This window comes from Homo sapiens, chromosome 19 (assembly GCF_000001405.40).
Source record: "Homo sapiens chromosome 19, GRCh38.p14 Primary Assembly".
Taxonomy (NCBI): domain Eukaryota; kingdom Metazoa; phylum Chordata; class Mammalia; order Primates; family Hominidae; genus Homo; species Homo sapiens.
The window spans coordinates 18,170,616-18,183,324 of record NC_000019.10 but is presented as its reverse complement, the minus strand read 5'-3'; the positions used below and the strand labels follow the sequence as shown (position 1 = coordinate 18,183,324).

At 53.1% G+C, this 12,709-nt stretch overlaps 1 protein-coding gene across 1 annotated transcript, besides 4 other annotated features; it reads right to left on the bottom strand.

Annotated features, from left to right (window-relative positions):
• Nucleotides 1–5,207: 5,207 nt before the first annotated feature.
• Nucleotides 5,208–9,512, bottom strand: IFI30 (IFI30 lysosomal thiol reductase). The gene is made up of 7 exons (NM_006332.5): nucleotides 9,352–9,512; nucleotides 8,103–8,285; nucleotides 7,940–8,014; nucleotides 7,628–7,720; nucleotides 6,033–6,185; nucleotides 5,561–5,614; nucleotides 5,208–5,476 (listed from the first exon to the last, which is right to left on the bottom strand). The coding sequence occupies exons 1-7, from the start codon at nucleotides 9,481–9,483 to the stop codon at nucleotides 5,414–5,416; spliced, it is 753 nt and encodes a 250-aa protein (NP_006323.2). The 5' UTR covers nucleotides 9,484–9,512; the 3' UTR covers nucleotides 5,208–5,413.
• Nucleotides 8,285–8,950: an enhancer, noted in NCBI's record as "H3K4me1 hESC enhancer chr19:18285185-18285850 (GRCh37/hg19 assembly coordinates)". NCBI's record gives its function as "activates a minimal SCP1, AML or CMV promoter by ChIP-STARR-seq in primed H9 embryonic stem cells {active_cell/tissue: H9 hESC(primed)}" and the evidence as "EXISTENCE:reporter gene assay evidence [ECO:0000049][PMID:30033119]".
• Nucleotides 9,078–9,147: an enhancer, noted in NCBI's record as "active region_14304". NCBI's record gives its function as "activates an Ori minimal core promoter by ATAC-STARR-seq in GM12878 lymphoblastoid cells {active_cell/tissue: GM12878}" and the evidence as "EXISTENCE:reporter gene assay evidence [ECO:0000049][PMID:35858748]".
• Nucleotides 9,458–9,767: a silencer, noted in NCBI's record as "silent region_10376". NCBI's record gives its function as "represses an Ori minimal core promoter by ATAC-STARR-seq in GM12878 lymphoblastoid cells {active_cell/tissue: GM12878}" and the evidence as "EXISTENCE:reporter gene assay evidence [ECO:0000049][PMID:35858748]".
• Nucleotides 12,195–12,414: an enhancer, noted in NCBI's record as "active region_14303". NCBI's record gives its function as "activates an Ori minimal core promoter by ATAC-STARR-seq in GM12878 lymphoblastoid cells {active_cell/tissue: GM12878}" and the evidence as "EXISTENCE:reporter gene assay evidence [ECO:0000049][PMID:35858748]".

Below are 12,709 nucleotides of genomic sequence, written 5' to 3'. Positions count from 1 at the left end.
CGGTGGCTCATGCCTGCAATCCCAGCACTCTGGGAGGCCAAGGCAGGCGGATTGCTTGAGTCCAGGAGTTTGAGACCAGCCTGGGTAACATAGTGAAAAGCTGTCTCTACTAAAAATATAGAAAATTAGCTGAGTGTTGTGGCTTGTGCCTGTAGTTCCAGACACTCGGGAGGCTGGGGTGGGAGGATCGCTTGAGCCCTGGAGGCAGAGGTTGCAGTGAGCTGTGATGTCACCTCACTGCACTCCAGTCTGGGTGACAGAGTGAGACCCTGTCTGAAAAAAAAAAAAAAAAAGGTGATTTGCTTAATGGATGTCAAGCCTGACAATAAAATTAATTTTAAAAAGTAAAGGAGAGACCCATATGTGGGTTTTTAATTTTTTTTGGTTCCTTGGATGGTTATTTTTTGAGATAAGGTCTTGCTCTGTCGCCCAGGCTGGAGTGCAGTGGCATGATCTCAGCTCACTGCAGCCTCCCAGGTTCAAGTGATTCTCATGCCTCAGCCTCCCGAGTAGCTAGGATTACAGGTGTGAGCCACCAGGCCTGGCTATTTTTTTTTTTTTTTGAGATTGAGTTTTGCTCTTGTTGCCCAGGCTCAAGTGCAATGGTGTGATTTCGGCTAACCGCAACCTCTGCCTCCCAGGTTCAAGCGATTCTGCTGCCTCAGCCTCCCGAGTAGCTGGGATTAGAGCTACCACCACCACACCCAGCTAATGTATTTTTAATGGAGATGGGGTTTCTCCATGTTGGTCAGGCTGGTCTTGAACTCCCGACCTCAGGTGATCTGCCCGCCTCAGCCTCCCAAAGTGCTGGGATTACAGGCACGAGCCACCACGCCTGGCCAATTTTTGTATTTTTTATAGAGATGGGATCTCACTGTGTTGGCCAGGCTGGTCTTGAACTCCTGGTCTCCAGTGATCCTCCCACCGTGGCCTCCCAAAGTGCTGGGATTACAGGTGTGAGCCATGGTGCTGCGTCCCATATATTTATTTTTTTAGGTTCTTTGCTTCTTTGATTTTTGATACTTGATTTGTCAACAAGAAAAGTAACTTAAGATGATGATTATTTTTTCAATGTTTTATGAAATGTTCATGAGTAATTAAGCATAATTGTTGAACACAAGTAAGTTAAATGAAAGTGAGATGAAAGCTTGTAAATAAGCTTTTCAACAATAATTATGTTTTATAGTATGCCTGCTTAAATATTGTTTTCAAAATCTGTTTGTAAATGTGAACTTCGGGGTGGGGCGCAGTGGCTCATGCCTGTAATCCCAGCACTTTGAGAGGCTGAGGCGGGTGGATCACGAGGTCAGGAGTTCAAGACCAGCCTGGTCCAAATGGTGAAACCCTGTCTCTACTAAAAATATAAAAATCACTTGGGTGTGGTGGCATGTGCCTGTAATCCCAGCTACTTGGGAGGCTGAGGCAAGAGAATCACTTGAACCTGGGAGGTGGAGGTTGCAGTGAGCCAAGATCGCGCCACTGCACTCCAGCCTGTAGTCCCAGCGACTTAAGAGGCTGAGGCAGGAGGATTGCTTGAGTCCAGGAGGTCATGGCTGCAGTGAGCTATGATTGTGCCACTGCACTCCAGCCTGGGCAACAGAGCCAGATCCTGTAGAGTAGGAAAGGAAGAGCTGGGCGCAGTGGCTCACGCCTGTAATCCCAGCACTTTGGGAGGCCAAGGCGGACAGATCGCTCGAGTCCAGGACTTTGAGACCAGTTTGAGCAACATGGCGAAACCCCGTCTCCACTACCAATACAAAAATTAGTCAGGTGTGGCTGGGCGCGGTGGCTTGCGCCTGTAATCCCAGCACTTTAGGAGGCTGAGGCGGGTGGATCATGAGGTCAGGGGATCGAGACCATCCTGGCTAACACGATGAAACCCCATCTCTACTAAAAAAAAAAAAATAGCCAGGTGTGGTAGCACCCGCTTGTAGTCCCAGCTACTCGGGAGGCTGAGGCAGGAGACTCTCTTGAACCTGGGAGGTGGAGGTTGCAGTGAGCTCAGAATGTGCCACTGCACTCCAGGCTGGGCGACAGAGTGAGACTCCGTCTCAAACGGGAAAAAAAAAAATTAGCCAGGCATGGTGGCATATGCCTTTAGTCCCAGCTACTCTGGTTGAGCCCAGAAGGTGGAGGCTGCAGTGAGCTGAGATTGCACCACTGCTTTCCGGCATGGGTGACAAAGCGAGACTCTGTCTCAAAAAAAAAAAAAAAAAAAAAAAAAAAGGGAAGGAAGGAAAGTGAGGGTGGGGAGACAGAGAGAGAGAGAAAGAAGAAATGCTCATTAAATGCCTGATTGCTCACACCATTTAGAGACCTAACTTAGATAGGTTCCCAACTCCCTCCTAAGCCACCACCTTCTAAAATGAGACACAAGGCTGGGTGCAGTGGCTCATACTTGTAATCCCAGCACTTTGGGAGGCCGAGGTAGGCAGATCACTTGAGGTCGGGAGTTGGAGACGATCCTGGCCAACATGGTGAAACCCCGTCTCTACTAAAAATACAAAATTGCTGGGCGCGGTGGCTCACGCCTGTAATCCCAGCACTTTGGGAGGCCGAGGCGGGCGGATCACCTGAGGTCAGGAGTTCGAGACCAGCCTCGACTTGGAGAAACCCCGTCTCTACTAAAAATACAACAAATTAGCCGGGCATGATGGTGCATGCCTGTAATCCCAGCTACTCGGGAGGCTGAGGCAGGAGAATTGCTTGAACCTGGGAGGCGGAGGTTGCAGTGAGCCGAGATCATGCCATTGCACTCCAGCCTGGTCAACAAGAGCAAAACTCCGTCTCAAAAAAAAAAAAAAAAATACAAAATTAGCTGGGTGTGGTGGCGCATGCCTGTAATTCCAGCTACTTGGGAGGCTGAGGCAAGAGAATCGCTCGAACTCCAGAGGTGGAGGTTGTGGTGAGCCAAGACCACGATCATGCCATTGCACTCCAGCCCGGGTAACAAGAGCGAAACTCCGTCTCAAAAAATAAATAAATAAATAAAATAAAATGAGATACAAGTGTGTAACCAAGCTAACCTATTCTCAGGACAAAGATACTGATTCGACAATATCTGGCATAGTGTGCTTATATTTATTCCTTTCTATTTGTTCTAATCTGTCTTTTTCTACCCCTTCTGTAGATGTGTTACTTCAGAACTTCTACCCTGAATTTCTCTCCACCACCAATTCAGCCAGGGAATGAGGAAGTTCAGGACGTGCCACCTCAAAACATGCCACCTTTGCTACTTGATGATTTGTATTTATTTATTTATTTATTTTGAGATGGGGTCTCTCTCTGTTGCCCAGGCTGGAGAGCAGTGGCGTGATCTCGGCTCACTGCAACCCCTGCCTCCCGGGTTCAAGCCATTCTCCCATCTCAGCCTCTGGAGTAGCTGGGATTACAGGCGTGCACCACCACGCATGGCTAACTTTTGTATTTTTTAAATTTTTTTTTTTGAGACAGAGTCTTGCTCTGTCGCCCAGGCTGGAGTACAGTGGCATGATCTTGGCTCACTGCAAGCTCCGCCTCCCAGGTTCACGCCATTTTCCTGCCTCAGCCTCCCGAGTAGCTGGGACTACAGGTGCCTGCCACCACGCCCAGCTAGTTTTTTGTATTTTTAGTAGAGACGGGGTTTCACCGTGTTAGCCAGGATGGACTTGATCTCCTGACCTTGTGATCCACCCGCCTCGGCCTCCCAAAGTGCTGAGATTACAGGCGTGAGCCACCGCGCCTGACCAACTTTTGTATTTTTTAGTAGAGACAGGGTTTTGCCATGTTTGCCAGGCTGGTCTCAAACTTCTGACCTTAGGTGATCTGCCTGCCTGGGCCTCCCAAAGTGCTGGGATTACAGGTGTGAGACACCGCATCCAGCCTAATTTTTGTATTTTTAGTAGAGACAGGGTTTCGCCATGTTGGCCAGGCTGGTCTTGAACTCCTGACCTCAAGTGATCCACCCACCTCAGCCTCCCAAAGTGCTGTGATTACAGGTTTGAGCCACCGCGCACAGCCGGGGTATTCTTTTTCACTTTTCCTGTTCTACTCTTTGGAATCAAGTTACTCAATCTAGTTCACTGTCAAGGTGGTTGTAGGGCCCGGCACGCTGGCTCACGTCTATAATCGCAGCACTTCAGGATCCTCAAGAAGGATCGCTTGAGCCCACGAGTTTGAGACCAGCCTGGGCAACACAGCTAGACTCCATCTCAAAATAAAGAGAAACAAAGATATTTGTAGGGAGTGGAATTAAGCCTCACTTCCTCGAAGGAAGAATATATACATCTATGATTTGACCAGTCCATCAGTAGGAAAAAATACAACACTGAACATGTTCTTTCCCTTCTTTTTCTTTTAAAAGGCAGAGTCTTGGCTGGGTGTGGTGGCTTTCGCCTGTAATCCCAGCACTTTGGGAGGCCGAGACAGATGGATCATGAGGTCAGGAGTTCGAGACTAGCCTGACCAACATGGAAGAACCCTGTCTCTACTAAAAACACAAAATTAGCTGGGCGTGGTGGCATGTGTCTGTAATCCCAGCTACTCAGGAGGCTGAGGCAGGAGAATCGCTTGAACTGAAGAGGCAGAGGTTGTGGTGAACCGAGATCACGCGTTTCCCTTCAGCCTGGGCAACAAGAGCGAAACTCCGTCTCAAAAAAAAAAAAAAAAAAAAAAAAAAAAAGAGGCAGAGTCTTGCTCTCTGGCCCAGGCTGCAGTGCAGTGGTGTAATTATGGCTCACTGCAGCCTTGACCTCCTGTGCTCAAGTGATCCTCCTGCCTCAGCCTCCCGAGTACCACAGTTGCTCGCTGCCATGTCCTGCTAATTCTTTTTATTTTCATGTTTTGTAAAGACAGGGTCTTGCTTTCATGCCAAAGCTGGTGTCAAACTCCTGTCCTCAAGCAATCCTCCTACCTTGACCTCCCAAAGTGCAGGAATTATAGACGTGAGCCACCTCACCCGGCCACAACCAGTCACTTTTTTAAAATTTTGAGATGGAATTTTGCTCTTGTCGCCCAGGCTGGAGCACAGTGGCGCGATTTCGGCTCACTGCAACCTCTGCCTGCCGGGTTCAAGCAATTCTCCTGCCTCAGCCTCCCAAGTAGCTGGGATTACAGGCGCCCGCCACCGCGCCTGGCTAATTTTTGTATTTTTAGTAGAGAGCGGGTTTTGCCAGGCCTGGGGAAGGGGGAATGGCTGACTTATCAAATTAATTACACCATCCAGAAGGGCTTATTAAACTAGTTTTACTTTAGCACCATTCTTAGTGGAGCAGGATTCTTGATCATGGGGTGGAATTTTGTGTATCTGGGCTTCATGGGATGCATAAAATTTTCCAGTTGGTAAGTAGCAGGTGCCGAGGGTCTGGATCAGAAAAAAAGGCAGGCAGCCGGGTTCCCACTCGCCTTCCATGAGCTCTCCGCAGCTCACCGGCCATCACTTGAAGCAAACACTCCTGAGGGAGCTGGTTGAGGAAGGGCAGACATCCGGCTTCTTGCCCTGGAGGTGAAGGCCATGAGTTGGGGTCCTGGAAGGAGACCCTACCCCCACCACCTGAATCCCACTGCTCCCCTCCCAGCTTACCTGGTACAACTGGCAGACAAGGGTAAGGAGCTGGGTCTGATCTTCCAAGGGTTTCTGCACAAAGCAAGACAGGGGTCGCATATTCCCAGCAGCTACCCCAACCCATGCACCCTGGTTCCAGCCCAGAAAGGGCTGCACATATTCCCAAGTCTGGCCCCCGCCTCCCGCCTCGCAAATCAGTGGCACATCTTTCCCAATGGGGGTGGCTAGGGATGTTTAATACTTCGAATTAATACATACTTTTTTTGCCTGATGGACTCCTACTCACCTTTCAAAACCCCAGCATCAATGCCCTCTTTCCCTATGCAAAGCTATCAAGTTTTGCTCTTGTTGCCCAGGCTGGAGTGCAGTGGCATGATCTCAGCTCACTGCAACCTCCGCCTGGGTTCCTTTATCTCTGGTCCCTCTGTCTTGTCCATCCCTGACTCCATGGGACTATGAGTGTCAAGCTGAGGGCTAAAAAGATTCTTACCCCATTGACGGTGACCCAGGGCACATACTCGTGTGGTGGCTGGAGAGCATCTGTCCGCTGGGCGTTGGCGTGCATGAGCTGCATGCCGCGGTCCCCCATTGCACACTCCATGATAGTGTCTGGCGACAGCCCTGGGGCGTAGAGCTGCAGGCACTGGGTGGGTGGGGAGCAGGGGGTTGCCTCAGCTTCCTCCCCGTTATCTCAACGGTCCCGCCCACCAGCCCTGAGCCAAGCCTGTTTCGTCACTGAGAAGAGGGTACAGTTGGCTTCACAGTGATGCGACAAAGCCCACAAACAGCAGGTGCTCAATACATGCTTGAGTGGAGGCCCCTAAGGCAGGGCTTGGGCTGCTCCTGCCTCCTAGCTCCCTTGGTTTCATCCCTAAGACCAGACCCACTGCCTCTGACCCCCATAGTATCTCACTTTACTCAGGACCTCCACACAGGCTGATCCCTCTGCCAGGAACACCCTTCATCCTCCTTCCACAGTGTCTCCTCAGTGCCCTCTCCTTGCCACTCTCTCAGCCCTGATCTAACCCTGCAGGACTAGGGTGTCACTAGGTGAGGCCTCTTGGGTGACCCGGATGTTTGATGAATGAATAAATGATTGGAGCCAATGAGTCACTTCTCTGGGAGTCATTCTTCACAATCCCCCGGGGAAGTAGGTGGGGTCTGTCCTATCATCTCCACATCCCATCATCTGTGTCTCTGCACATTCCTGCTCATCCTTCCATGCCCAGCTCAGAAATGCCTCCTCCAGTAAGTCCTCTGTGATCACTCATGCTCCTAAGAGACCTGCATTCATTCCCCTGATTCAGAGATGGAGGCTTCAAGAGGGGAGGCTGGGGCCGGGCGTGGTGGCTTACACCTGTAATCCTTTGGGAGGCTGGGACAGGCGGATAACTTGAGGTCAGGAGTTTGAGACCAGCCTGGCCAACATGGTGAACACTGTCTCTACTAAAAATACAAAAATTAGCCGGGCATGGTGGTGCACACCTGTAGTCCCAGCTACTGGGGAAGCTGAGGCAGGAGGATCACTTAAACTGAGGAGACAGTGGTTGCAGTCAGCCAAGATTGCACCACTGCACTCCAGCCTGGGCGACAGAGCAAAACCCTGTCTCAAAAAAAAAAAAAAAAAAAAAAAAAAAAAAAGGGCTGGGTGCGGTGGCTCACGCCTGTAATCCCAGCACTTTGGGAGGCCAAGGCAGGCGGATCACAAGGTCAGGAGTTCAAGACAAGCCTGACCAACATGGTGAAACCCTGTCTCTACTAAAAACACAAAAATTAGCTGGGCATGGTGGCACACAACTGTAATCCCAGCTACTCAGGAGGCTGAGGCTGGAGAATCACTTGAACCCTGGAGGTGGAGGTTGCAGTGAGCTGGGATTGCGCCACTGCATTCCAGCCTGGGCGACAGAGCGAGACTCTGTCTCAAGAAAAAATAAAAAAATAAATAAAATAAAGAAGGGTAGTTGTTTTCCTGGGCTGCACAGACAGCAGTGGTCAGGGCTAGGACTTGAATTTGGGTCTGCCTGGATGCAGGGAAGGTTACCACCCATGTCCCCCTCCTTGGGTGGAGTGAGGGGCGTCACTCACTAGTGGCAGACTTCTCTCCATGTCCTCAAACTCTTCCATGCAGACAATGGTCAGGAAGGCTAGCTCCATGTCAAGTTCATCCAACACGCAGGCCTGGGGTTTGGAGAGGGGGCAGGAGAGGGCATGAAGAGGGCCTAGGGTACCCTGACACCCTCTCGTAATAATCACCAGTACCCACCCAGGAGATAGGGAATAAAGATGTGATTAAATGGGAGCACACGAGGCAGAAGACAGAGCTGGCATCCTCGTATTTGCCTCCTGTACGTGGGACAGTTTTCCCCCACCCCAGTGTGGGGCCCTGGGGCCGCTCACCTCCACCTTGTTGAATTTGCACTCCTCTTCTCCATGCTGGCACTTGAACTCCCACCTGCCACTGACATTTTGTTCCTGCAAGGCAGCAGGGTGAGAGCCTGCTGGTAGGCTGGGTCCCCTGCTCCCCTGCCCACGTGCCTCAGTTTCCCCAGCGCCCACACACCTGTGCGTTTCCGTAGGGCACCAGCGTGACATTGAGGATCTCCATGACCAACAGCCATGTTGGGAAGAGCTCCCGGATCAGGAAGGCTCGGCAGCCACCGCACAGTGCTTCATAGTAGAGGGTCACATTGACAAGCGGTGCATTGGACTTCTTCAGGGGCCCCCGCAGGTATAGATTGCCTGTCTGTGGATTAGGAAGGCGTGGGAGGCAGGTGTAGCCCTGGGCAGTTCCCCACTTCTCTCAACCCCACTTGGTAGTCTTGTAGAAAGGGGGCTGTGATACGCAATTCATCTTGCACGCCTTCCAGAACTTGCCAGGTGGAATCTTGACTTTGAGACTTTTTTTTTTTTTTTTGAGATGGAGTCTCACTGTCGCTAGGCTGGTGTGCTGCGGCACGATCTCGGCTCACTGCAACACCCGACTCCCTGGTTCAAGCAATTGTCCTGCCTCAGCCTCCTGAGTAGCTGGGATTATAGGCACATGCCACCACACCCAGCTAATTTTTGTATTTTTAGTAGAGACAGGGTTTCTCCATGTAGGCCAGAATGGTCTCGAACTCCTGACCTCGTGATCTGCCTGCCTCAGACTTCCAAAGTGTTGGGATTACAGGCATGAGCCACCGCCTCCGGCCTTGGCCCATGCTCATTTCTTGTCACTTCACCTGGAGACCTTGCCTCTGAGCTGAGCAAGGGATCCACGTGAACCCTTTCCAAGTCCGACTGAATAGAGGCGGCACCTAATAGGTGCTGACTTCCGGCTTCAGCTGAGGGGTGGCGGGTGGCCCATGTCGCTGGAGCGGTGAGCAAGTCGCTCAGCCTCTAGGGCATCTGCCTAATAGGTCCCAAAGACACGCGAGCCCTGCCCTGGCTGGAATGAATGCATCAAGGGTAGCAGCAAGAATGCATGCCGGCGGCCCTTGGCCAGCTGCTGAACTTGTGCCCTGGGCCACAAAAGGAGACCCCAGCTCCTGCCCCAAAAGTACACAGTAGGCGCTCATTGAACCCTTGGGCGGGACTAGGCGGGTGGAGGCAGCTGCGCCTCTCAGATGCGGGATGCGAAAGCGAAACGGCACGGAGGGAGTGTGGCCGCAGCGCCGGGAACTGAACAGGGTTTTTCCAGGAACCCGGCAGGGACAGCGTCCCCTCGGGGCCCTGGTCTTCCCCTGTGAAGTCTGGGGAGAAAGAAGGAGCCGCGTGCCCCGACAGGGCGCCTGTTCCCTCCAGCCTGCCCGCCCTGTCGCCGTCCCTACCTTGTAGTTAACTGGTGGCCCATTCCCAAAGAAGTCTAACGCTTGCAGAGGGGACGCCTGCACCGCCGCCGTGGGGACGTCCAGCAGCAGCAGCAGCGGTGGCAGGAACAGCAGAAGTGGCGACAGGGTCATCGCAGCAGGGGCAAAGGTGTGGCGACTGCAGCGGCTGCCTGGGAAATAAGCGCCTTTAACCAGGCGGCGGTCCCGCCCCTAACCCGGGCCCGCCTCCCGATGCCCACGCCCCTCGGGTCCCGGGCCAGCGTCTCTCCCTCCTCCACTCCTTCCTCTGAGTGTCCCACCCCCACCCCTGCCAGGTGCTGGGTCCCCAGTCACGAGGCCATTGGGCCCCTTGGCAATCAGCCCTGCCCAGGCACGTGAGCCCTGGCGCAAGACTACCTTTAGGGGAGGTGAGGTGGGGCCTTTGAGACAGACACAGGCTGAGAGGAATGGTGGTGTCTCCACGCACCCCTAGACCTTCTAGGGGCGGCTAGGGGACTTGAGGCCCGAGACCCACTCTCAGAGTGGGCCTGTGACCTAACAGGGGTGACGTCGGATGGAGGCTGGGGATGGGATGGAGGCCGGGGTTTTGGGGGAGTAACTGAAATATTCAGGCCCCCGAGAGTGGGCAAGGCCTGTGTGGCCAGGTCTCCTCCCTCCAGTCTCGCCCGTGACCTCCCTCACACCCAACCCCCACATCCTGCCCCTCAACCCTTCCCCCCTCAAACTCCTGACCCCGACGCTCCAGACCCCTCACCGTGGTCCCGTGGGACTGACTCAGGCTTGACCACAGCCACGCCGGAAAGCAGAAGCTGGCGCAGGGAGTGGCGTGTCATTTCTCTAGGGTACCCACCCAGCCCCACTTCTGGCTTGGGGTGAAGAGAACTGGCCTTCCTTCTTTTCATCGTTCAAGGCTTGTGGGGGGTGGGGGGCAACCTGGCCTTCAAGGGACGCCCATGGGGGAGAGAGGCAGCCTGTGCTGTCTGGGATAGGGGTGGGGTGGCTTGGAGTCCACCTGGCTTTGGATTTGAGTGACAGAGCCTCAGCTTTCCCTTCTGTGTAATGGGGAGAAGGATAAGGTTTGGGGAACAAGAGTCACCATGGAGGGCTCAGAGGCAGGTGGGGGAGAGTTGTCCCAGGCTGGGGCTTCTGGATGGCATGGTCAGGCCTTGGTGCCTACACAGGACAGTGGCCCCAACAGTGAAGGCAGAGAGAATAGCCTGGAAAAAAGGCCCAGATGGAGGCTGGAGTGTTGGGGGAATAACTGAGACATTCCAACCCTGCCAGGCCTTACATTCAGGGCAAGACACATCGGATCCTAGGGAAGAAAATGTCCCACACCCAGCTGGAAGATATACCTGAGTCCCCAGCTGTGCCCCCCTCTAGTTGTGGGGAAGACCCTGGCCACACACACAGTAGCTGGTTTGGGAGCCGGAGCTTCTCTGAAGTCCCAGTGGCTGGATGGTCCCCGAGCCCATCCCTCAGACGACCAAACCGTTGGCAAAGGCTCCCCAAGACTCACCACCCCAACTTTGGTGCTTACCCTATGCCGGGTGGGATTGAAGAAATAACCATAAATATAATTGCTACAATTTTTCCAGTAGTTACCAGGCACCAGCCCTATTGGAAGAAATCATAAATGTAACCCTACAATGTATTGCTCTCTGGCTTGGTGCCAGGCATAGAGTGGGCCTACAACCCATTTTATCATTGAACCCTCAGAAGCATCCAGTTGGGGCTGGGGGTAGGTGCTACTGACTCCAGCTGGTAACAAATAAATGGCTGATCAGAGAGGGAAGGCTATTTTGCCAAGGACACACAGCCAGTGGTTGAGTGTTTTTAGAGACCACACGGGATATTCTCTTCCACCCCCAGCTCAGCATAGCTGGGATCATAAAGATGGCAACCTTTCTCCTGTGAGCACCTATGCAGTGAGAGGCACAATCTGGGCTGGAGTTATTTATGGGTTATCTCCAGACAGGACACATGGCAGGGACAGTGCCTGGCAAGGCTAGGGGGCTCTGAGGCTAAGGGAGGCAGGTCCTGTCCCAAGGTCCCAGCAGTAGACTGGGTCAGAGTGGAGGTTTCTTTCTGCACTTGCCCCAGGTTCAGCCTTGTTGGGCCTTGAGAGGTGGCTGTACAAAACAGACAAGGACAGTGAGGCCCCAGGGTTGGGGAGGGCTGAAGGGACAATGACGTCGCAGTGGGGGTGTGGATTCTGGGTGTGATGGGGAGGGTGGTAAACAGGAGTCCAAGTCAAAGACGCCATGAGGCCACGCGTGGTGGCTTACGCGACTCAGGGAGGCTGAGGTGGGAGGATCACTAGAGGCCAGGAGTTTGAGACCCACCTGGAAAAGGGCAAGACCCTTTTTTTTTTTTTTTTTCTTGAGACAGAGTCTCACTCTGTCACCCAGGCTGGAGAACAGTGGCACGATCTTGGCTTGGTGCAGCGTTGACCTCCCAGGTTCATCTGATCTTCCTATCTCAGCCTCCCAAGTAGCTGGGATTACAGGCATGCGCCACCATGTCTGGCTAATTTTTTTTTGTATTTTTAGTGGAGACCAGGTTTTACCATGTTGGCCAGGCTGGTCTCAAACTCCTGACCTCAAGTGATCTGCCTGCCTTGGCTTCCCCAAGTGCTGGAATTACAGGTGTGAGCCACTGCACTCGGCAAGATCTTGTTTCTAAAAAAATTTAAAAATAATTAGCTGGACATGGTGACACACACCCGTAATCCAGTGACTCTAAAGGCTGAGATGAGAGGACTGCTTGAGGCTGGGAACCAGGAGCTTGAGGCTGTGAGCCGCGAGCTGTGTTCGCACAACTGCACTCCAGCCTGGGTGACAGAGTGAGAGACCTTGACTCTTTAAAAAGAAACACAAAAAACCCCACAGGGCTTTTGCTCAGCGTCTCCTGGGACCCGGCGGGCTGTGCATGGGAGTGGGTGAGGAGAGGTCAGAGAAGAGCCTCCAATGCTGGCTGGAGGTGCCGACGACTTGAGAACATCAAAGACACGGGAGACTCCTCCCTGTGGCATGGGAGGGTTTTGACTTTTGACGCCACTTGGCAATGAATGAGGAAGCTGTGGATCAGGGAGGGGATACAACTTTCCCAAGGACACAGCTGATGGTTGCGACAGGATTCAAATTTGGGGGCGGTGGGCGGGGGAAGCAGCTTGGAAGCACTTGAGGGGCTGGATGGGGTCTGGGGTCCCCTGAGCAGTCGGGAGCTCAGGATTCGAATCTCTCTCCTGTATGACCTTGGGCACTGCCTCAACCTCTCCAGGCTTGAGCAGCTAAACTGGGGGAGGGAGGGGTTGTCGGGTCTCAGAGGGGCTTGGAGTTAAACCCACGGGTCCGAC

What these genes read in the sequence shown, in the direction of transcription:
- IFI30 (NM_006332.5), bottom strand. Translation starts at nt 9,483, where the DNA reads ATGACCCTGTCGCCACTTCTGCTGTTCCTGCCACCGCTGCTGCTGCTG. An exon ending in GCAAATTCAACAAGGTGGAG is followed by an intron (nt 7,721 to 7,939) that starts GTGAGCGGCCCC and finishes TCCAAACCCCAG; the next exon opens with GCCTGCGTGTTGGATGAACT. An exon ending in TTGTCTGCCAGTTGTACCAG is followed by an intron (nt 5,477 to 5,560) that starts GTAAGCTGGGAG and finishes CTTCACCTCCAG; the next exon opens with GGCAAGAAGCCGGATGTCTG.